Source organism: Homo sapiens, chromosome 9 (genome assembly GCF_000001405.40).
Source record: "Homo sapiens chromosome 9, GRCh38.p14 Primary Assembly".
Lineage (NCBI taxonomy): Eukaryota > Metazoa > Chordata > Mammalia > Primates > Hominidae > Homo > Homo sapiens.
In genome coordinates, this window is record NC_000009.12 from 135,054,588 (window position 1) to 135,077,529 (window position 22,942).

The 22,942-nt window shown below is 50.0% G+C and overlaps 1 protein-coding gene across 2 annotated transcripts in view, besides 1 other annotated feature; it reads left to right on the forward strand.

The window, feature by feature from the left end:
* Nucleotides 15,308-16,205: an enhancer, noted in NCBI's record as "H3K4me1 hESC enhancer chr9:137961741-137962638 (GRCh37/hg19 assembly coordinates)". NCBI's record gives its function as "activates a minimal SCP1, AML or CMV promoter by ChIP-STARR-seq in primed H9 embryonic stem cells {active_cell/tissue: H9 hESC(primed)}" and the evidence as "EXISTENCE:reporter gene assay evidence [ECO:0000049][PMID:30033119]".
* The window catches only part of OLFM1 (olfactomedin 1), a 45,680-nt gene continuing 43,655 nt past the window's right edge, over nt 20,918-22,942 (forward strand). For both annotated transcript variants that reach the window (NM_014279.7, NM_006334.6), the window contains exon 1: nt 20,918-21,215. In NM_014279.7, coding sequence (NP_055094.2) covers nt 21,150-21,215 — 66 coding nt within the window. In that variant the 5' untranslated portion in view covers nt 20,918-21,149. The remainder of the gene's footprint in view (nt 21,216-22,942) is intronic.

Sequence of the window (22,942 nt, forward strand, 5' to 3'; positions counted from 1 at the left end):
CCTCAAACTCATGAAATTGGGCGAAAGGTATAAATTTATGATTCAAGAAGCACAAGGAACTGCAATCAGGATACATTTGCAGAAGCTCACATCCAGGCACAGCAGCAAATGGCTAATACCCAAAGATAAAGAAGAAACGTTGAAAGTAGGAAGAGGAAAAGGACAAGAGAACAACCACAGCTTCAGCCTTCTCATCCGAAATCATGGAGGTTAAGAAGAGAGCCTTCTCAACCCAGAACTCCATATCCAATTAAATATTCTTCAACAACGAAGAGTAAAGGCATTTCCAGTTGGAGGAAAACTATAATAGCCTTTTCTCAGGAGACCTTCCCTACAAGAAATGCTGAAGAAATTTCCTCAGCAGAAAGAAAACACCACCAGGTGGAAATCTGGGTGTTCAGAAACAAAAGAGCATCGGGAATAGGAAACAGAGAAGTAAATAGAAAAAAGACTATGTCTCCCTTCATTTTGTTAAAGCACATAGGACTGGTTAAAACAAAAAGTGTACTGGGTCTTATGGGGTTTATAATGTTTATGAAATTATTCATTTGATTACTATCACATAAGGATAAGGGTGTGGAAGGCTCTATAGGATTGCTAAGTGGTACAATATTAGCCAGATTGAAAAATACGGGAATGTCTATGTATTAGTCCATTTTCACACTGCTGATAAAGACATACCCGAGACTGGGCAATTTGCAAAAGAAAGAGGCTTAATGATTTATAGTTTCACATGACTGAGGAGGCCTCACAATCATGGCAGAAAGAGGCTTAATGACTTATAGCTTCATATGACTGAGGAGGCCTCACAATCATGGCAGAAAGAGGCTTAATGACTTATAGTTTCACATGACTGAGGAGGCCTCACAATCATGGCAGGAGGCAAGGAGGAGCAAATCGCATCTTACAGAGATGGTACAGGCAAAAAAAAGAGAAGAGCTTGTGCAGGAAAACTCCCCCTTATAAAAACCATCAGATCTCATGAAACTTACTCACTCTCCCGAAAACAGCATGGGAAAGACCTGCCCCCATGATTCAATTTCCACCCACCAGGTCCCTCCCACAATACATGGGAATTCAAGATGAGATTTGGGTGGGGACACAGCCAAATCATATCAGTATATCATAATCCTTAGCATAACCACTAAAAGAATAATGCAAAAATGTATCACTAAAAGTCAATAGGTAAAGTATGTTGGAATTCTAAAAATTAATGAAATAATCCAAAAGAAGGTAGGAAAGAGGGCTGGGTGCAGTGGCTCATGCCTGTAATCCCTGCACTTTGGGAGGCTGAGGCGGGCAGATCACGAGGTCAGGAGATCGAGACCATCCTGGCTAACAAGGTGAAACCCCATCTCTACTAAAAATACAAAAAAATTAGCTGGGCATGGTGGCAGGCACCTGTAGTCCCAGCTACTCTGGAGGCTGAGGCAGGAGAATGGCGTGAACTCAGGAGGTGGAGCTTGCAGTGAGCCGAGATCGTGCCACTGCACTCCAGCCTGGGCGACAGAGCGAGACTCCATCTCAAAAAAAAAAAGAAGGTAGGAAAGTAGGAGAAGAACCAAAAAAAAAAAAAAGAGAGAAAAAACAAAACAAGTAAAAAGACAGTAATCCAGATGATTTCTTTAAAAAATAAAAAAGCAAGGCCTAACTATGTACTCTCTATAAGAGAAGCACTTTAAATATAAAGACAATGATTGAAAGTAAATGGATGAAAAACCATAAACCTTGCAAACAGTCAGACCAAGAAGTTAAAGCAGCTTTATTAATGTCAGGTAAAATAGACAAAGAATGTTGTCAAAGATAAAGACAGAAATTTCATAAAGACCAAAGGGTTAATTTATTGGAAGACAAAATAATTGCAAATGTGTGTACACCTAATAACAGAGCTTCAAAATACATGAAACAAACATTACAAAACTAAAGGAAGAAAGATAATTCCATGATCATAGTAAGAGACGTTGACACCCTTCTCCAGCAACTGATAAAAGAACGGGAGAAAAAAAGTCAATAAAACACTGAAAAAAAAATTATATGAAAATGGTAATGACTTAGAATAGCCAAATTACATCAATCATATCAATTGTATTGATATGATTGATATGTGCTGAGCAGTACACCCAACAACCAAAAGACAGACTTTTTTTTTAAGTACACGTGGTCAGCTCAGCAAGATGAGTCATTTCTAAGCCATAAAATAAATATAATACATTTTAAAGACCTGAAGTCATACAGAGCATGTTCTCTAACTGCAATGGAATTAAATTAGATATCAGTGACAATAAGGTATCTGGGAAACTCCTATACATATGGGTGTCAACAACATACTTCTAGATAATTCATGGTCAAAGAAGAAATCACAGTGGAAATTAGAAAATAGTTCAAAAAATGATCATGAAAGTGTGACATATGAATTTATGGGATTCAGTTAAAGCAGTGCGTAGAAGGAAACTTATAGCTTTAAAATGTTTTTATCTGAAATGAATAAAGGTTTAAAATCAAAATCTAAAGTTCTCCCTCAAGAACTAAAAGAAGAGCAAAATCAGTCTAGGTATGTAGAAGGAAGAAAATAATAACAATATGTAAAGAAATCAAAGAAATGGGAAATCAATCAAAAATAGAGAAAACTAACAAAGCTAAAAATGTATTCTTTGACAAGATTAAACAAATGACAAAACCCTAAACTTACCCAGAAAAAAATGAGGAAGAACAAAAATGTCAATATCAGGAATAAAAGAATGAATGTGATTTCAGATCTTATAGATGTTAAAAAGATGAGGAATTATTATGAATAACAATTTGCAAACAAATTCATTGACATTAAAAATATAAGAGAATATCATGAACACCTTTATGCCAACAAATGTGACAACTTTGTTAAAAGGAGGAAAAGCCTTGAAAAATGCAACCTACCAAAATTTACATTATGTGAAAGAGAAAATCTGAATATCTATATAGCTATTTTAAAAATGTTTTTTTAAAAAATAAAAACAAATTTCGCCAAGAAAATTTCAGGCCTGGATGGTTTCACTTGTGAATTCCGAGCACATTTCAAGAAGAAATAACACCGAATATACACAAACCCTTTCAGAAAGAAGAGGAGAAGGGAAAATGGCTCAACTTGTCTTATGAGGCCGGTGTAATCCTGATACCAAAACAAAGACATCACAAGAAAAAAAGAAAAAAGCTATAAACCAATACTCCTCACAAACATAGACACAACAATCCTTAACAAAATAGCAACTCAGGAAATCTAGCAACATATACAAATAATAGTACATTATGAACAAGTAAATTTTATCTCAAAATGCAAGGTTGGTTTAACATTTGAAACTCAATCAGTGTCATTCACCATATTAACAGAATAAAGGAAGGCAGAAAACCATATAATCATTTTAATAGATACAGAAAAACATCAGATAAAAATTCCATATCCAATCATAAACTCCCAGAGAAATAAGAATAAGGGTAGGATAAAGGGTAGCTTTATAAAGCATACCCCTTATAAAGAATAAAGGGTAGCTATGTAAAATCCATAGCTAATTATCACACTTAATCTTCCCTATAAGATTGGTAACAAGAGTTCTTGCTCTCGCCACTTCTATTCAAACATTTACTTGAAATTCTAGTCATTGCAAAAGGAAGATGAAGAAATAAAAGCATTCAGATTTGATAAGAAATAAAGCAGTTCCTATCTGTGGGTAAAATAATTGCTTGTGTAAAAAATGCTAAGAAGTCTGTAAAACAATTACTGGAATTAATAAGTGCATGTAGCAAAATTGAAAGATACAAGATACAGAAATCAGTCACAGTTTATATACTAATATCAAACAATTAGAAAGTGAAATTTTAAAAATTACTCTTACAATAGCACCACAAGCCACAGAAGGAATGAATTTAACAAAAAAGTGTAACTCCTCCTCACTGAAAACCATGAAATGCTGCTGAGAGAAATTTACGTAAGTAAATGGAAGACAGACCCTATTTATGTATCCGGCATTGTCAAAAGGTCAGTCCTCTCTAAACTGATCTATAGATTCAGTGCAACCCAGGAGGCATTTTACTGGAATGGAGAAATTGACAGGCTGATTAAAAAAATGTATACAAAAATGGTAATGACTTAGAATAGCCAAAGCAATTTTTAAAAAGAACAAAGTTGAAGGGAAGGCGGGGTAATCAAAGGTTGGTTAAGGGATGTAAATGGCCAGCTAGGGAGGAGGAATGAGTTCAGGGCTCTATTGCACCTAGGATGACTGTAATTAATTAACAACAATTTAATAAATAGCTAGGAGAGTGGATTTCAAATGTTCCCAACACACAGAAATGATAAATGTTTGCAGCAATGGCTATGCTAATCACCCTGAAATCAAATGATCATTACATACTGTATACATGTATTAAAATCTCACACTGTGCCCCATAAGTATGGGCAATTATTCTATGTCGATTAAAAATAATTATAAAAGCAATAAATAAATACAGATTCCCAGGCCCAGATCCATCCACTGGATTTGAATTGTCAGCAAAGGAACCTGGGGTCTACATTTTAATGATACCTCTGTCATTCCTATCATCAAGCAAGCGGCAGAAACCCTTAGACTAATTCTACTTGGATCAAATGGGAAATGTGTTTAGTGCCGAATATAAATAATTGTGTAATTGTGAGCTTTCCAAGTATAGTTCTACTTAAATCACATCATCAAATGGAGACATTCTATGTTTCATGTACGTAAAGCACAAAACAAGCAAAACTAAGGTTTAAAATCCAGAGTAGTGAGCACTGGGGCTTAGGGACTGGAAAGGAGCAGGAGGGGCTTTCTCGGGGACTGGGAACGTTCTGTTTATTTAACTTGTGCTGGATTCATGGATGTGTTTGGTTTGCAAAAATTCATCAAGTTATAGGTATATAAACAAAGTGTATGATATATAAACCCACATATATATGCCATGTGTACGATACACATATACATCAGTAAAAGCAGTTTTCAGAAAGATTTAAAGGTGTAGGCTAACCTAAAAAGATGTAAAGGTAAAGGTTCATTGAAAAATAAGCTTAAATATAAATGCTAAGAGTAGCTCCACTAGATCAGCATTTTTATTAATATGAAGGATACACAGCCCAAATATAAGTGGACTTCAGATTATGTGCTTCACCCCTGAAAAAGCACAAAAACAAAGTGGAGGGCTCAAACTCATCTGATTTTAAGATTTATTGTAAATGTATAATAACCAAGACAGTGAGGATTTTGCAAAAGGATACATATATAAAGCAGTGATCTCTAACAGAGAGTGCAGAAATATTTCACACATATGTGAAATTCATGATTAACCAAAGTGCAGTGGCAATTCATGGGGAAAGAAGAATTTTTTTGACAAATGCTGCTGGAATTATGGGGTAAACCTATGAAGAGAAAATGAAAATTGACCCTCACCTCACACCACATACAAAAGCAAAACTCGAATCATAGGGCAAAGTGCAAAAGCTAATACTAAACTTCCAGAAGAAAACAGGAGAAAATCTTTGTAACTGTGGGGCACAGATTTCTTAGGTTGGTTGCAAAAAACACAAACCACAAAATATAAATTGAAAAAGTTAACTTTATCAAAATCGAAAACTTGAAAGCCACCGCTAAGAAAACAAACCAAAAAGGAGCAAGGCACAGAGTGGAAGAGAGTATTGAAAATACATCTATCTGACAAAAGACTTATACCCAGAATATAGGAAGAACTTTTACAATTCATGGAGAAGACAAAAATATCTATTAGAAAATGGGCAAAACAGCTGGGCACAGCTCAAGACAATATGCACAGGGCCAATAAGCACACAAGAAGATGCCCAGTATCTTTGGTCATCTGGGGCAAGGGTGGACCGGGAGACTGCGAAGGGACTGCTGAGGCCATCCAGGCTGGGGCACACAGTGGCTCTGGCCACCCCAACTGAAGCCTGGGTGTCCTCCTGGGGCCACTCTCAGAGAGAGTCCCAGAGAGGAAAAGAACTTGCAGAGGAAATGAACCTCAATGACATCATTGGCTCAGGGGCTCCACTAAGTGCAGCTCAGGCACAGGATGAGGCTGGCCCAGGAATGAGGAGCTCGGACAGGAGGAGGACTCTGCACCTGGGGTTTCAGTGCCATCTGCCTGGTTTGTTGCCTCCCCCTCCCTCTCTCCCAATGCCCACTTGTCTCCCAGGATGCAGAGTACCCATCCCAGAGTCCCATGGTCCTGCCAAAGGGGATATGCCCCCCAGCAAAGATAAGCAGACAGACCCAGCCAAGAGGGCTGTTTCAACAGCTCAGAGACCAGGACGCCCATGGGGTTCCCATATGGGCCAGAGCCAACCAACCACTCTCTGGATTTCAGATCCCCTTCCCTTTCCCTGCTGGTCCAGCACCTGGCATGGAGCATCCACCCCATAGGGTGAGGAGGGAGAAGATTCCTGCTGCAAACGGCTCAGTGCAGGGCCTGGTACAAGTTAATTGTTCAGCAACTGGCAGCTCTCTCACGATCTGTTTATGTCCCTGATGGCTCTTGGCTACAAAGGTGGAATTCAGAAGCCAGTCTCCAGCCCTGGGAGTGGGAATGACAAGATCAAAGCTGAACCTAATCCTCGAAAGACAACCTGGTATAGCGGAAAAACGCTGGTACAGGAAGATACAGATGCAAATGGTACTTGGTGGATAAATATTCCCAGATCCGGCAGGGCTCTCTGATCCTTCACCTTAAGGAAATCTGTGTGTCCAGTTTGTTTATTAATATTTTAGTTGTGCAAAGCACATGAAGTCTCAGCACTAACCTAGCAGCCCTGCAATGCTGTGGGGGAGAGGATGGGGCTGGGGCTGCAACCCCAGAAACAAAGGACCAGAGACCTCCACCACCACAGCCTGAGCCTTCCTGCCCCTCCAGCTCTTCTCCTGAATCTGTGCCCTGCGAGTGAATTCAGAAGCAAATGGGATACTGGTGCGAGTACAAGCTGAACCATCATTCTTGAAACCGGAGCCCACAGAGGGCCTCCCGCTAGCCTTTCCACCGGGGGTGGGCGCTTCACGAGCCCCAGAAGCACTTCATGTTCAGTCTCAGCCCCTGCATCTCCACGCAGCAGCCACTCAAGTCTTCGCGGAGCCTCTTCATCTTAAACACAGATTTAGAAGAGGACGTCGTGGAGGTCAAGCAATTGCCTGCTTCATTTCCATGCATTGGCATCACCAAGAAGGCCCCCAGAGACTTTTCCTAAGTAGCAGGCTTGGTACAGAATTATCAGATATTCTCCATTTTTGTTGTTGTTGTTGTTAAATCCGCTGGGTCGCTGCTAACAAAATGCTAGCCGGAAAGACCGTTGAAATTGATGTGTCTCATTTCCTTTTGCCTTTTCTCTTAAACCAATGACCTTCACTAGTGCATTTAATAGCCTTTAGGTTTTTTTTTAGCTTTGTTCTCAAATTGCACCCTGGAACCAAGCAGGTGAAACTTCAGACCTCTCTGAGCGGCTATCTCTGCAGATGGATATTTGGGGCTGAGGGAGACCCCAGAGGAGGAGAGGGCAGCTGTAACGAGGGAGCTGGGGGCAGATCCCAGCTCTGAATCCCAAGGATCCTGGGTTTGAGGCAGCCTCAGCCACTCCTGGCCCAGTAACCTAGAGCCAGCAATTCTCCTCCATCTCTGCCTCAGTTTCTTCAACTGTAAAATGAAGCAAGAGCAGTGCACTCTCCATAAAGCAAGGAAGGGGAAAATTCCTGCTGCAAAGAGCTCAGCTTAGGGCCCAGCACAAGTTAATTGTTCAGCAAGCAGTGGCTCTGTCACCATCTGTTTATGTCCCGGATGGCTCTTGGCTACAAGGGTGGAATTCAGAAGCAGGTCTCCAGCCCTGGGAGCAGAGGGTTACAAGATCAAAGCTGAGCCTGACTCTCGTGAGGTGATGTGGGATCGGGGAAGAAGAGGAGCTCTAGAAACCAGCAGAACTGCGGCTCTGCCACATCCCAGCGCATGGACCTTAGCATATCTGAGACCCAATTCCCTCACTTTAAGGAGGAAGCAGGGTGGCATGAATATAGATGAAGCCAGAATGCACTTCATGCATGCACAGGGAAACACACACACACACCCTGGCACCATAGTCCACGTTCAGTTTTAGTAAAGGCACATTTCCTCCCCTCTCCCTCTCCCAGAAGGAAACTTGAGTACCAGGCAGGCTACCAGGATAGAAATCCCACCACAGAAACCCACTGTATTAGTCTGTTTTCATACTGCTAATAAAGACATACTTGAGATTGGGTAATTTATACAGGAAAAAGGTTTAATGGACTTATAGTTCCATGTGGCTGACAAGGCCTCATAATCATGGCAGAAGGCAAAGAGGAGCAAGTCACATCTTACATGGATGGCAGCAGGCAAAGAGAGAGCTTATGCTGGGAAACTCTCCCTTATAAAACCATCAGATCTTGTGAGATTTATTCACTATCACAAGAACAGCATGAGAAAGACCTGCCCCCATGATTCAGCTACCTCCCACTGGGTCCCTCCCACAACATGTGGGAATTCAAGGTGAGATTTGGGTGGGGACACAGCCAAACCATATCATTCCACCTCTAGCCCCTCCCAAATTTCATGTCCTCACATTTCAAAATGAATTATGCCTTCCCAACAGTCCCCTAAAGTCTTAACTCATTTCAGCATTAACTCAAAAGACCACAGTCCAAAGTCTTATCTGAGACAAGTCAAGTCCCTTCTGCCTATGAGCTTGTAAGATCAAAAGCAAGTTAGTTACTTCCTAGATACAATGGGGGTATAGGCATTGCCTAAATACAGCCCTTCCAAATGGGAAAAATTAGCCCACACAAAGGGGCTACAGGCCCCATGCAAGTCAAAAAACCATCAGGGGAGTCAAATCTTAAAGCTTCAAAATGATCTCCTTTGACTCCATATCTCACATCCAGGTCACACTGATGCATGAGGTAGGTCCCCCTGGTCTTGGGCAGCTCTGTCCCTGTGGCTTTGCAGGGTACCACCTCCCTCCCAGCTGCTTTCACAGGCTGGCGTTAAGTGTCTGCAGGTTTTCCAGGCACACAGTGCAAACTGTCAGTAGATCTACCATTCTGGAGTCTGGAGGACGGTGGCCCTCTTCTCACAGCTCCACCAGGTGGTGGTCCAGTGGGGACTCCGTGTGGAGGCTCCAGCCCCACATTTCCCTTCTGCACTGCCCTAACAGAGGTTCTCCATGAGGGCCCCGCCCCTGCAGCAAATGGGCATCCAGGCAACAGAGGATGTTTCCATACATCTTCTGAAAACTAGGTGGAGTTTCCCAAACCTCAATTATTGGCTTCTGTACACTTGCAGGCTAACACTACATGGAAGCTGCCAAGGATTGGGGCTTGCACCCTCTAAAATCACGGCCTGAGCTCCACATTGGCCCCTTTCAGCCATGGCTGGAGTGGCTGGGATGCAGGGCACCAAGTCCCTAGGCTGCACACAGAATGGGGACCCTGGGCCTGGGCCGTGAAACCATTTTTTCCTCCTAGGCCTCTGGGCCTGCAATGGGAGGAACTGCTGTGAAGACCTCTGACATGCCCTGGAGACATTTTCCCCATCGTCTTGGGGATTAACATTCGGGTCCTTGTTGCTTGTGCAAATTTCTGCAGCCACCTTGAATTTCTCCTCAGAAAATGCAATTTTCTTTTTTTGTCACATTGTCAGGCTGCAAATCTTCCAAACTTTTATGCTCTGCTTCCCTTATAAAACTGAATGCCTTTAACAACACCCAAGTCACCTCTTCAATGTTTTGCTGCTTAGAAATTTCTTCCACCAGATATGCTAAATCATCTCTCTCAAGTTCAAAGTTCCACAAATCTCTAGGGCAGAGGCAAAATTCTGCCAGTGTCTTTGCTAAAGCATAACAAGAGTCACCTTTGCTCCAGTTCCCCACAAGTTTCTCATCTCTATCTGAGACTACCTCAGCCTGGATTTCATTGTCCATATCATTATAAGCATTTTTGTCAAAGCCATTCAACAAATCTCTAGGGAGTTCCAAACTTTCCCACATTTTCCTGTCTTCTTCTGAGCCCTCCAAACTGTTCCAACTTCTGTCTATTACCCAGTTCCAAAGTTAATTCCACATTTTCAGCTATCATTACAGTGGTGCCCCACTCTACTGGTACCAACGTACTGTATTAGTCTGTTTTTATGCTGCTAATAAAGACATACTCGAGACTGGGTAATTTATACAGGAAAAAGTTTTAATGGACTTACAGTTCCATATGGCTGGGGATGCTTCATAATCATGGCAGAAGGCAAGGACTAGCAAGTCATGTCTTACATGGATGGCAGCAGGCAAAGAGAGAGCTTATGCTGGGAAACTCCCCCTTATAAAACCGTCAGATCTCGTGAGACTTATTCACTATAATGAGAACAGTATGAGAAAGACCTGCCCCCATGATTCAGTTACCTCCCACTGGTTCCCTCCCACAACATGTGGAAATTCAGGATAAGATTTGAGTGAGGACATGGCCAAACCATATCACCCACCAAGCCCTTCACTTGAGGATCTGGGCTGGGCTCTCAGGCAAGAATCAGGAGGCACTGAGTTGGGATTCAGTCCAACAATGGCAAGTGGACGGCATGTTCTGGCTCAGGGTTGGGCAGACAGGGCCTCCCTCTGGGATTCACACTGGTTCTGAATAACAAGAACCATGCTGGGGCAATGACCTGGGGCCTGAGCCCTGCTCTTAGCCTGCTGGGCACCATGCCAGCCCAGGGCAGCCCACCAAGGCTGTCCACGTGGCATCCTTAGTGATAGTTTCTAGAGCTGCTTCCTTGGCCCCTGACCAGCCCCACATCCCTGGACCTGGGCTCTGTGGAGGACCTCTCTCTGCCCTTCGGCTCCCATCCTCCCATCCTGCTTCCCCTTGGGGAACCCCTCCAGCCTCATGGGTGCTGTCTGTCCCCACTGGTCAGTCTCCCCCTACGCTTGGGCCCTGGACAGCAGACTGCCGTGTCCAGCCTCCTTTTTGGCATCTCCACTTGGGATCTCCTCCCAGGCTCTGACACCTGCAATGCCCCACAGCGTTCCTGACCTCCCTTCCTTACCCTGCCTCTCTCTGTCTTTGTGCAACGAAAGCCCCTTACTCACCCAGAGCCCCCAAACCAAACACATAAGCTGTGTCGTTACTCATGTGACCCCTTCCAGTGGCCCCTGGAGTGAGCCCCCCTTCCCTGTAGCTCCCTGTGGATCCTCCTCATCCATTCTCCACAAAGAGGCAGGGTTTTCAAAGCACAAATCAGACACCATCACTCCCTCACTCAAAACCCCAGTGACTGCCGTTTCATGATACTGAGAGCTAACGGTCTGTTCAGGGCTGGCAAGGCCCTGCCTGCTCCCCATGCCCTCCCCCTGCACCAGTCTTGCTGACACCAACCCCCAACCTTTCCCCAAAGCCACCTACTCTCACCCTCAGGCCTCTGCATGGGGTGCTCTTCCCCAAGTCATGGGCCATCTTCCCCAAAATGTTCCCCGAGTGACTCTGGGCCCAGCATCCTATTCATTAGGCTCACACCACTCAGCTGTGGCTGACGTTTACCAAATTCTTCTATCTGCTTGCTTGTTTGTTTTCTCACTGTCCCTGCAATTGGCTGAGTAACAGCCCTCCAAGATCTCCATGTTCTCATCCCTGGAGCTGGACATGAACCTTGATGGGTCTTTATTCAGAAGAAGTGAGCTGCAGATATGGCCACATCCAGAGTCTTCCGATCCTCCTGTCCTCTCCCTGTGGGTACTAAATTCAAGCATCCTTATAAGAGGCAGGGGAAGACACATGTGGTTGGGAGGAGACACATGCACAGGGGAGATACATGCAGTTGGGGGGACACATGCAGGAAAGGAGACACATGTGTGGGGGAGACGCATGCAGTTGGGGGGACACGTGCAGGAGAGGAGGCACACGCACGGGGGGAGACACATGCAGTGGGGGAGACACATGTGGGGGGGAAGACACACGTCTGGGGGAGACACATGTTGGGGGAGACACATGTGGGGGGGAAGACACATGTCTGGGGGAGACACATGTTGGGGGAGACACATGTGGGGGGGAGACACGTGGTTGGGGGGGAGACACATGCAGCAGGGAGATACATGCAGTTGGAGGGACACATGCAGGAAAGGAGACACATGTGGGGGGGAGACACATGCCAGGGGGGAGACACATGTGGGGAGGGGAGACACATGCAGAGTGGGGGACACATGCAGGAGAGGAGGCACATGTGTGGGGGAGACACATGCATTTGGGGGGACACATGCAGGAGAGGAGGCACATGCAAGAGGGGAGACACATGCAGTGGGGGAGACACATGTGGAGGGGAAGACACATGTCTGGGGGAGACACATGTTGGGGGAGACATATGTGGGGGGGAAGACACGTGGGGAGGGGGGACACATGCGGGGAGGAAAACACATATGGGGGGAGACACATGTGAGAGGGAGACACATGCAGTTGGGGGGGACACATGCAGGAGGGGAGACACATGCCGGGGGAGACTCATGCTGGGGGGAGACACATGCACGGGGGGGAGACACATGCAGCGGGGAAGACACACGCGGCAGGGAGCGGTAGGGACACAGGCAGAGGGGAGAGACACATGCAGGGTTGGGGGAGACACATGTCGGGGGGAGACACATGCAGCGGGGAGACACATGCGGGGGGGAAGACACATGTGGGGAGGGGAGACACATGCGGGGAGGAAAACACACATTGCGGGAGACACATGTGGGGGAGAGACACGTGCAATGGGGGGGAACACATGCAGGAGGGGAGACACATGCCGGGGGAGACTCATGCTGGGGGGAGACACATGCACGGCGGGGAGACACATGCAGTGGGGAAGACACACGCGGCAGGGAGCGGTGGGGACACAGGCAGAGGGGAGAGACACATGCAGGGTTGGGGGAGACACATGCGGAGGAGCAGGGGACATGGAGATGCAGCAGAGACAGCTTGAAGGTGCTGGCCTGGAAGACTGGAGCAGCCACAGGCCTAGGAACACCCAGGGCCTCCAGAAGCTGCAGGAGGCAGGAAGGATCCTCCCCTAGAGCCTCTGGAGGGAGGACAGCCCTGCCAACACCTTCGTCTTGGACTTCTCCCCTCCAGAACTTGGAGAGAATGAATCTCCGTTGCCTTAAGCTTCTCAGGTTGGGGTATCTTCTCACCATCAGCCCTGTCTGATGTAATAACGCTCTCTCTCCCTCACTAGGGCTCTGTTTGCCTTCAGGGAGCTCTAGTGAGGGAGAGAGAGCCTTACTCCATCACACAGTCAGAAAAGCTAAGAAAACAAAGCAGAGTCCAGGGCCTGAATGAAGCCGGGGTGGGATTCACATGGCGTCAGGGACAACAGGCTCCTGGCAGGAAAGCAGGGATGTCCCCAAGCAGCCTCAGGGCAGGGCAGTGCAGCCGAACAGGACTGAGCGAGGGGAGAGAAAGGGGGTGGGATATGAGAGGTGGTGGGGACCTCATGACAGAGGACGGAGGGCTCTCAGCCCTGTGGGAAGCCTCTGCCGGGTCAGGACCTCAGGGAAGATTCTGTAAATCCACCCTGGCCGCAGGGTTAGGGAGGCGGCAGGGAGACTGGAGGATGCAGTTGAGTGGTTGATGACTGTGTGGGGCGGTGCTGGATAATTCAGGTTGGCCCGAAAGACTTGCGGGTGAGTTGGATGTGAGATTTAAAAGGAAGCGGGTTGCCCGGCATAGCTCCTGGAATTTGGGCCTGGGCAACAGGAAGGGCGGAACTGCTGTTCCCTGGACTGGGAAGGTGGGGCAGGAGCTGGCTGGGTCTGGGGTAGGCTACAAAGAGCCGTGCTGCAGACTCGCCAGGTGCACAAGCACGTTAGATACCAAGGGACACTGTCAGGTGGTGCAGTATGAGCTGGGAATTCAGAGAAGAGGCTATGCTGAGATGTAAGTGAGGGGAGCACAGCAATGGGAGTTCCTGTCCTGCGCTGGAGGAGGCACCTGGCGGGGGGCCATGGAGGACAGAGCCTTGAAACACCCAACCATTAGAAGGTGGGAAGGTGCAAGCCTGGCCAACATGGTGAAACCCCGTCTCTACTAAAAATACAAAAATTAGCTGGGTGTGGTGCATGCACCTGTAGTCCCAGCTACTTGGGAGGCTGAGGCAGGAGAATCATTTGAACCCGGGAGGCGGAGGTTGCAGTGAGCCAAGATCTCGCCACTGCATTCCAGCCTGCAGACAGATTGAGACTCCATCTAAAAAAAAAAAAAAGAAAGAAAAGAAAGTGGGAAGGCGGTGAGGCCCAGCACAGCACAGAGCCTGGGGAGGAGCAGCCAGGGAGGGACGAGGGCACGCAAGGCAGGGGCATGCACCATCCAGAGGAAGCGAGGCTTCCAGGGTAGAGGGAGGAGAGTCTGTGCCGGGTGTCGCTGGTTCCCTCCAGTCAGATGAAGGCTGGCATTGCCACCGTTGCGTTTGATGACGAGGAAGTCGCTGGTGAGCTTGCCCAGAGCTGTGTGGAGGAGCAGCCTGGAGAGATGGGATGTGGACATTCATCTCTGCAAAGGAGGACAGAGAGGTGGGGCGTGGCTGCAGGGGATGAAAGGAAAGACATTTCTTTGGTGAAGATGGGCAAAAACGGCAACATGTTTTCGACGAGAGGACAGGTGTGGGGAGACAGAGCAGGGAGGGGGCAAGCTCCCGGGCCCACGGAATGGTGGTCCTGCATGGGGGCAGAGATGATTCACCTCCTGCAAGGAGCAAGGCAGGGCCAGGCAGGAGTCTGGGTGGTGGATCTTGTGATGGGAGCTGAGAGTTGGGCTGGGCCTTCCTCGGTGCAGTGAGAATCATGTCATCTGCCGGGGGAGAGGTGTGAGGAGGAGGGCCAAGGGGCAGGGGAGAGGTGTGAGGAGGAGGGCCAAGGGGCAGGGGAGAGGTGTGAGGAGGAGGGCCAAGGGGCAGGGGAGAGGTGTGAGGAGGAGGGCCAAGGGGCAGGGGAGAGGTGTGAGGAGGAGGACGGAGGGGCAGGGGAGAGGTGGGAGGAGGAGGGCCGAGGAGCAGGGGAGAAAGAGTTAGAGCCCCTCCAAGGGAGTTGGGGCTGTGGGCAGGGGGAGGCAGAGACAGGATTTCAGGACTCCCTTGGGCTGGGAGGTCATGAATTCAAACAGGGACCAGTCCACAAGGCGGTGTGATTTCCCTGGCCCTGCTCAGCTGTCAGGGAGCAGGGAGGGGTGGACAGAGAGTTGGGTGTCGCCAGGAAGACAGGAGGATGGGCAACGCCAGGGAACTGAGAGCACAGGAGAGACTTCTGGAGGAATCACAGCTGGACAAGCAGGGAAGTGACGAGGGGGAGACCACGGAGCAGGGTTTGGTGCTGCCTGCCCCGGCTGAACACCGGCAAGTGCACGACTGACTCCCGTGAACATCAAATGTGCTCCTAGGCTGCAAGGATTTAGTGAGAGAATGGCATAAGCTCAGCGCGTGCCCAACACACAGTGGGGCTGAGAACTCCAAACCACCCAGGTGGTCCCAGAAGCAGAGCTGGCCACCCTTTCCTTGCTTGACGGCTTCCAAACAGAAGCAGCTGGTTGCCGTGCACAAGTCCAGGGAGCTGATAAGGAGGGGCAGCCTGGGTCCTCTGTGAGCCTATTCACCACCGCCCCAGGCCGGTGTCCCCAGGGGCCAGGGAGGCCATCTGGGTGCTCGCTCGGCTCAGCTGGATTTGGAGAGGGTGAAGCCGGCAGCCTGAAGGCTCAGGGCACAGGGAGCCGATCGCGTGGATTTTGGGTCCCATTTGCTAGGAAATTCGCAGAGAGGAGGGGAGAGTTAGTGCCGTTGCCTTGGCAACGCTCTGTCACATTCTAATGGGGCTCAGCAGTAGAAGGAGGCTTGTCTTAGAGGAGCACAAAGCAGATCGATTTGCTGGTGTCCTGAGGCAGCTCAGCGGGAAAGCGGCTGCTTCCTGGGTGCCTGCTGCCCAAGCTCCATCAGGAAGGCAGCAGAAGAGGGGCGGGTGGGGGTGTCCCAGGACCCACGGTACCCACCAAAGAGTGAGGCGGGCTGATGCTGGGTACCCACTTGGCCTCATCCCAAGGTAGCTCAGGATCTCAGAGCTGGGGTGGAGGAGGTGGGCAGCTGCCCCAGACCGACTGGAGCTTTGGGACCCAGGCCCCACACCCACCTCTACATGGAGCCTCTGCTCTAGGGAGCTTCCTGATTTTGCAGACAGGAACGCCATGGGATGAGGAAAAGACAAGCATCTAAATCTGTCAGCAGTGAGGTGTGTTGGTGTCACGGGCTGTGGCCTCCCTCTACCTGAACCTCAGCCAACCCCAAAGGGGTGGACACAATGAAGAACTCGGAGCAACCTCCTCGAGGGGCCCGAGTGGATGCCAGATTCCCCAAAATCCAGAACTAGAGCCAAAGAGCTAGGAGCTTGGGTTGCAGAAGCAAATATAAATATTAAAAGTACGGACAAGATACAAATAATACAAGCAGTACAGATTGAGAGGAGGGACAGGGTGGCCAGAGAAAGAGGAGCTGAATATTACCCAGGCTTTCAAAAGAGGAAGTGGGCGTTATTGTCAAAAACGGGACCACGGGATAGAGAATGTCTAATTCCAAACAGTTAACGGTCTTCATAGACTTTTCCTTCTCAATCTTAGAAGGTTCTTCTAGGAAACAATGCCTCGCATGGTGAAGATAAACGCGCTTGAAGTCAGCAGCATCTTCGGCTTGACTTTGTTCCCCTTCCTTCTTTACGTTGCAGTTCAATCTAATATTTCTGGGCTGCAAAGCCTGGGAAGGATGATGTCATCTTTTACACCAGCATTTGCCCATCCTTCCTATTTCTTTCTAGCCATTGCCACGTGCCAGGCACAGTTCTAAATATTTGGCACGGCTGTGGCTCCCTGACGCCACTCAGCTGGGCACTGAGGTGGGGCTGCCATCATCAATCCACCCCCAGGGAGATAAATGGGGCCCGGAGAGGGTGACTGGCCCAGGGCCTCAACAGCTCCCAAGAGGGGGGCTCTGGCTTGGCACCCAGGCCATTTGGTCTTAGAGGCCACCCTCTTACGTTTGCACATTTTGCATTTCCTGATCACGTGCACAGAGGAATGCCTGCAGAGCAGCCCCATGGTCAACACTGGCTATTCTGGGTAGGGGGCTTTCGTTACTTTTACATTCTTCTTTGTATTTTATCTTTTTAAAGAAATACAATAATAAGTCTGTATTTTTTTTTAAAAAAAAAACAGCTTTATTAAGATATAGTTTACAGGTGGTGGCTCATGCCTGTAATCCCAGCACTTTGGGAGGCCGAGGCGGGCGGATCACGAGGTCAGGAGATCGAGACCATCCTGGCTAACATGGCGAAACCCCGTCTCTACTAAAAATACAAAAAATTAGCTGGGCGTGGTGGCGGGCGCCTGTAGTCCCAACTACTCGGGGGGCTGAGGCTGGAGAATGGCATGAACCTGGGAGGCGGAGCTTGCAGTGAGCTGAGATCGATCCACTGCACTCCAGCCTGGGCGACAGAGCGAGACTCCGTCTCAAAAAAAAAAAAAAAAAAAAAAATATATATATATATATGTTTTACATACCATACAATTCACTCACTTAAGGTGTACAATTCAATGGTTTTGGTATATTATATTACTATATTTTTAAAACTGTGGTTACATATGCATAACATAAAATTTACCATTTTACCCATGAAGTGCACAAGTTTGTGGCACTGATGACATTCACCATATTGTGCCACCGTCACCACTGTCGACTTCCAAAACTTTGTCATTATTCCAGGCTTAAACTTGTACCCACTCACCAATCATGTCCCAACCTCCTTCCCCTTAGCCCCTGGTAACCACTAATCTACTTCCCAGCTCTGTGAATGTGACTACTCTAGGGACCCCATAAAAGCAGAATCCTGCAGTACTTGTCCGTCAGTGACCGGCTTATTTTGCTGAGGATAATGTCTTCAAGCTTCATCTGTGTTGTAGCATGTGTTGGAATTTCCCTTCTCTTCATCGCTGGTAACAGTTCATTGGATGGAGCACATCTGTCTGTTGATGCATCTGTTGATGGACACAGGGGTTGTTCCCACTTTTTTGTTTGTTTGCTTATTTGTTTTATTAAGATGGTGTCTCGTTCTGTCCCCCAGGCTGGAGTGCAATGGCGTGATCTCGGCTCACTGCAACCTCCGCCTCCCTGGTTCAAGCGATTCTCCTGCCTCAGCCTCCTGACTAGGCGGGACTACAGGTGCCCATCACCACACCTGGCTAATTTTCGTATTTTTAGTAGATACTGGGTTTCACCATGTTGGCCTGGCTGGTCTCAAAGTACTGACCTCAGGTGATCCACCCGCCTCGGCCTCCCAAAGTGCTGGGATTACAAGCGTGAGACACCACGCCCTGTCTGTTCCCACTTTTTGGCTGTTATGAATAATGCTGCCATGAACGTAGGCGTGTACATATCCGCTCCAGTCCCTGCTTTCTCTTCCCTTGGGTGTGTACTCAGAAGTGGAATTGCTGGGTCACCTGGTGTGTAACTTTAAAAATAAAAACCATCCTTGCTAAAATTGGATCTGAGGCCTCAGTCCACTCAAGGAAATCAATGCAGCCTTCCTCCCCAGCCCACAGGAACAAAACCCCAAAGACGGGGGTCGCACTCCAGCTCTATGGCCATGTCACAGGTCTCCCAGAGCCCAGACATTTATTAGCGGCCACTTGGAGCATCAATGTGAAGGCTGAAGGAGAAACTTGGGTCGAGGCCTGGGGTGCTGCGCGTGCCCCATGCACGTAGAGTTCTTAAGCATATAGAGTGTGTTTATTCCTGCACTGGATCTCCTCAGTAGCCCCGAGACCTGCAGTATATGGACCATTCATTCCCATTCGACAGATGTGGGGACTGAGGCTCAGACAGCCACTACCCGGAGATCCCTTCAGCTCCAAACACAGGGTCCACTCCGGCCCCTGGCTGCCTCTCTCAACGATCCCCAAGGGGCTTACAAACAGCTTTCCTCCATTCTAGGACAACAAAGACACTGGGGGTAGTAACATGAGGGGGGCAGAGAGAAAAGAAGCCTCCACAGCTGCACCCCCCCCCCAATTTCTTCCCAGCACCATCTCCTCACAGAGTCTTGGGGGCCACCCTGCCTCAGGGGCCGTGGCATATCACCAGGAATGCCACTGCTTAAACTCGTCTGAGGCTGGGAAGCCCACCCAGACCAACAGGCGGGCCCTCTGGCTTCCCTGGAGGGAGCTCTGTCCCCAGCACTCAGAGAACAGAGTCCCCACAGCAAAGGCCCTCAGGGTGCAACGGCCGTGTCGGAGGGCCCCTTCCCATCTTCTCTTCTTCAGCACATGTGCCCAGCTCCTGCACCCAATGCCCAGGGGATGCCTCCCAGATGCCAGCAGCATGGTGACAGGGGCAGGAGGTGGCATTGTCCTTGTTCTGGATATCCCTGGGTGACCCCGGTACGTGACTCCCCTGAACTCCAGCGGCCTCATCTGTGACACAGGGGGCCGGGCCACATCATCCTGGGCAGTGCTGCTCTCTGCAATTATTGAGTCTGGAGTCTCTTCTTGTCAGAGATTCTCTTTAGGGAGTTTATTTTCCATAGACTAAAGACTAAACAATAGAGAACAGAGAGAGGCTTCTAGATACCTACTGCAACCTTAGCTTCTCAGAAAATACAGGTGCTTGGGACTCTTCCACAAAATCAGGAATTTAAATGGAAAACGTGGGCCCCAAGACAGCTCCTTTAGTCAACGGGTCTGAGTACACATTAAAGGAGGGTGGAGGGAGAGGGGACATAGAGAGGGAGGAAAGGGGAGGAGGGCACCAGGAAGGGCGGAGCCAAGGGAGTCCTGGGGGTGGATACGCACCTGCCTGTAAGGGGCCCTGTGGTCCTGGCACGTGCCTATAAGAGGCCCTGTCATCGTGTGTTAGGTTGTGACACAGCTCTGCCCTCCCCAGGTGCCTTTTCTGAACCAGGAACCTAAGAGGAGCTCTCCCACCAGGGCCAGGGAAGGAGGGCACCAGGACGGGCAGAGCCAAGGGGGTTCTGGAAGTCCCCGGCCCTGGTGGGAGAGCTCCTCTCTTAGGTTCCTGGTTCAGAAAAGGCACCTGGGGAGGGCAGAGCTGTGTCACAACCTAACACACGATGACAGGGCCCCTTACAGGCACGTCGTATCCACCCCCAGGAGCACACAGACAGACTCTCGTCCACATGCCCTGTCTGGGGACAGGAGCCCAGCACCCAATGCTTGTTCCTGCTTCCACCCCTTTGCTGACCTCCCCACTCATCAGGGCTGCGTGCCAGGTGACCAGGGTTCTAACCCTGGCTTCCTCCCTGACCCCTCCTCCTGGAAACATCCTTCCTGACCCAGCCTCAGTTTACCTCATTGAAGGGTGAATTTTAAGGACCCATTCAGCTTTTATCTCCTGTCACTCCATAGACATCAAGACTTAACATCCCATCCCTCCCACTCCCAGCTGTCATTCCCCCCCCCCAATCTTCGGCCCACTCCCTGTCCAGGGGCCCAGGTCCCCAGCGCGGGCAACCCCTCTGTCCCCATTCCCGGGACCTGGAGCCCGCGAGGGCTCAGGCCGGCCAGGATGGAGTTCTCTATCCCAGTTCAATTTCCCCCGCCTTTTTGATGTCACATCCTGTCCCAGCCTGCTTCCCCGCCGGCCGCCGCCCTCCTCCCCGGGAGAGAGCGAGGCGCGCGGGTCCCTCTGCGCCACCCCCGCCCCCGCCCCTTCCGAGCAAACTTTTGGCACCCACCGCAGCCCAGCGCGCGTTCGTGCTCCGCAGGGCGCGCCTCTCTCCGCCAATGCCAGGCGCGCGGGGGAGCCATTAGGAGGCGAGGAGAGAGGAGGGCGCAGCTCCCGCCCAGCCCAGCCCTGCCCAGCCCTGCCCGGAGGCAGACGCGCCGGAACCGGGACGCGATAAATATGCAGAGCGGAGGCTTCGCGCAGCAGAGCCCGCGCGCCGCCCGCTCCGGGTGCTGAATCCAGGCGTGGGGACACGAGCCAGGCGCCGCCGCCGGAGCCAGCGGAGCCGGGGCCAGAGCCGGAGCGCGTCCGCGTCCACGCAGCCGCCGGCCGGCCAGCACCCAGGGCCCTGCATGCCAGGTCGTTGGAGGTGGCAGCGAGACATGCACCCGGCCCGGAAGCTCCTCAGCCTCCTCTTCCTCATCCTGATGGGCACTGAACTCACTCAAGTACGTGCATCCAACGCCATTTTCCTCCCTGCCAGGCGCCCGGCCCGGCCCCTCGGGAGCCCCACAAAGTCCGGGAACGGCTCTGGCTCCGCGCCGCCCCGCGCCCCCGGCCTGGGCGCCCGAAGTGCCGGGGTTGGGGAGGGGGCCAGGGCGCTAGGCTGGACCTGGGTGGGAGGGAGGGGTGCAGGCTGACCGGAGACGGCGCTCCTCCAGCCCCGGCTCAGCAGAGCTGACAGCTGCCCCCTTTTTCCTAGGACTCCGCTGCCCCCGACTCCCTGCTGAGAAGTTCAAAGGGCAGCACGAGGGGGTCTTTGGCTGCTATTGTCATCTGGAGGGGGAAGAGTGAGAGCCGGATAGCCAAGACCCCAGGCATTTTCAGAGGTGGCGGGACCTTAGTCCTACCCCCAACACACACCCCTGAGTGGCTCATCCTCCCTTTGGGCATAACGCTGCCCTTGGGGGCTCCAGAAACAGGCGGTGGGGATTGTGCCGCTGAGACCTGGAAGGGCAGCCAGCGTGCCGGCCAGCTGTGTGCATTGCTGGCTTAATATGCAGGGCTTGGGGGGCTGTGGCCACATGCCCGGCAGGAGGTGAGTGAGGAGCCCTGTGGCGTGCTGGTGTGGGGATCGTGGGCATTTCAAACGGGCTTGTCGTACCCTGAACAATGTATCAATAGAGAAAGGTCTCTGCTTGGTATTCTCCATTTTAAAGATGCATATTGGAGCTGGCAGGTCTTGGGGGAGGAGAAGGGCTGTCTGTGAGCGCCGAACTGGGAGGGTTGCTTTGGCACTATGGTGCTCGGAAGAGCCTGCCAGCCGAGGGAGCCGGGCTGCTTGGGAGTGACATTAAAATGCCCTTTCAATGATGCCACTGTGCCACGCTCTGAACTGGGAGACTCTGGCCCTTTGGAGTTGCAAGTCCAGGAAGTGATGGGCAGCCAGTACCTTGGCCCCAAGCCCCAGCTGCCCCTGACCCTTCTTTCCTTCCTCCCTTCCTCCATCTCCCTCAGAATAAAAGAGAAAACAAAGCAGAGAAGATGGGAGGGCCAGAGAGCGAGAGGAAGACCACAGGAGAGAAGACACTGAACGAGCTTCCCTTGTTTTGCCTGGAAGCCCACGCTGGCTCCCTGGCTCTGCCCAGGATGTGCAGTCCAAATCCCAATCCAGCAGTGGGGTTATGTCGTCCCGCTTACCCTCAGAGCCCTTCTCCTGGTGCTGCCCAGACGATCAGCCAGTCCCTCCTGGAGAGGTTCTGCATGGCCTCTAGGAGAGGTTTTCTTGGCCCCAGGAAGGCCTGGTGGAGGGTGGTGGTTGTGCACTGTTGCTGGACAGATGCATTCATTCATGTGCACACACACACACACACATGCACACACAGGGGAGCAGATACCTGCAGAGAAGAGCCAACCAGGTCCTGATTAGTGGCAAGCTGCCCCACAAAGGGCTATGCCTGTGTCTTATTGAGACACCTTGGCAAAGAGATGGCTGATTCTGGGTGGTCCTGGACATGGCCGCACCCAAGGGCCCTCCAAGCCTTAATGGCACCCTGAAGCCTCCATGCCCAGGCCAAAAGATGCTTTTCCTCCCTAAGTTCTCCTCTTTGTGTCTTTTTAAAGATTCCCTGTTCTGGGGAGAAACTTTTGGTTCAACTTCAATTAGAAGCCTTGTCTCAGTGGTGAAAGTATTTGTCCATCCACACGAAGGGTGCTGGACATCCGAACCCCAGCC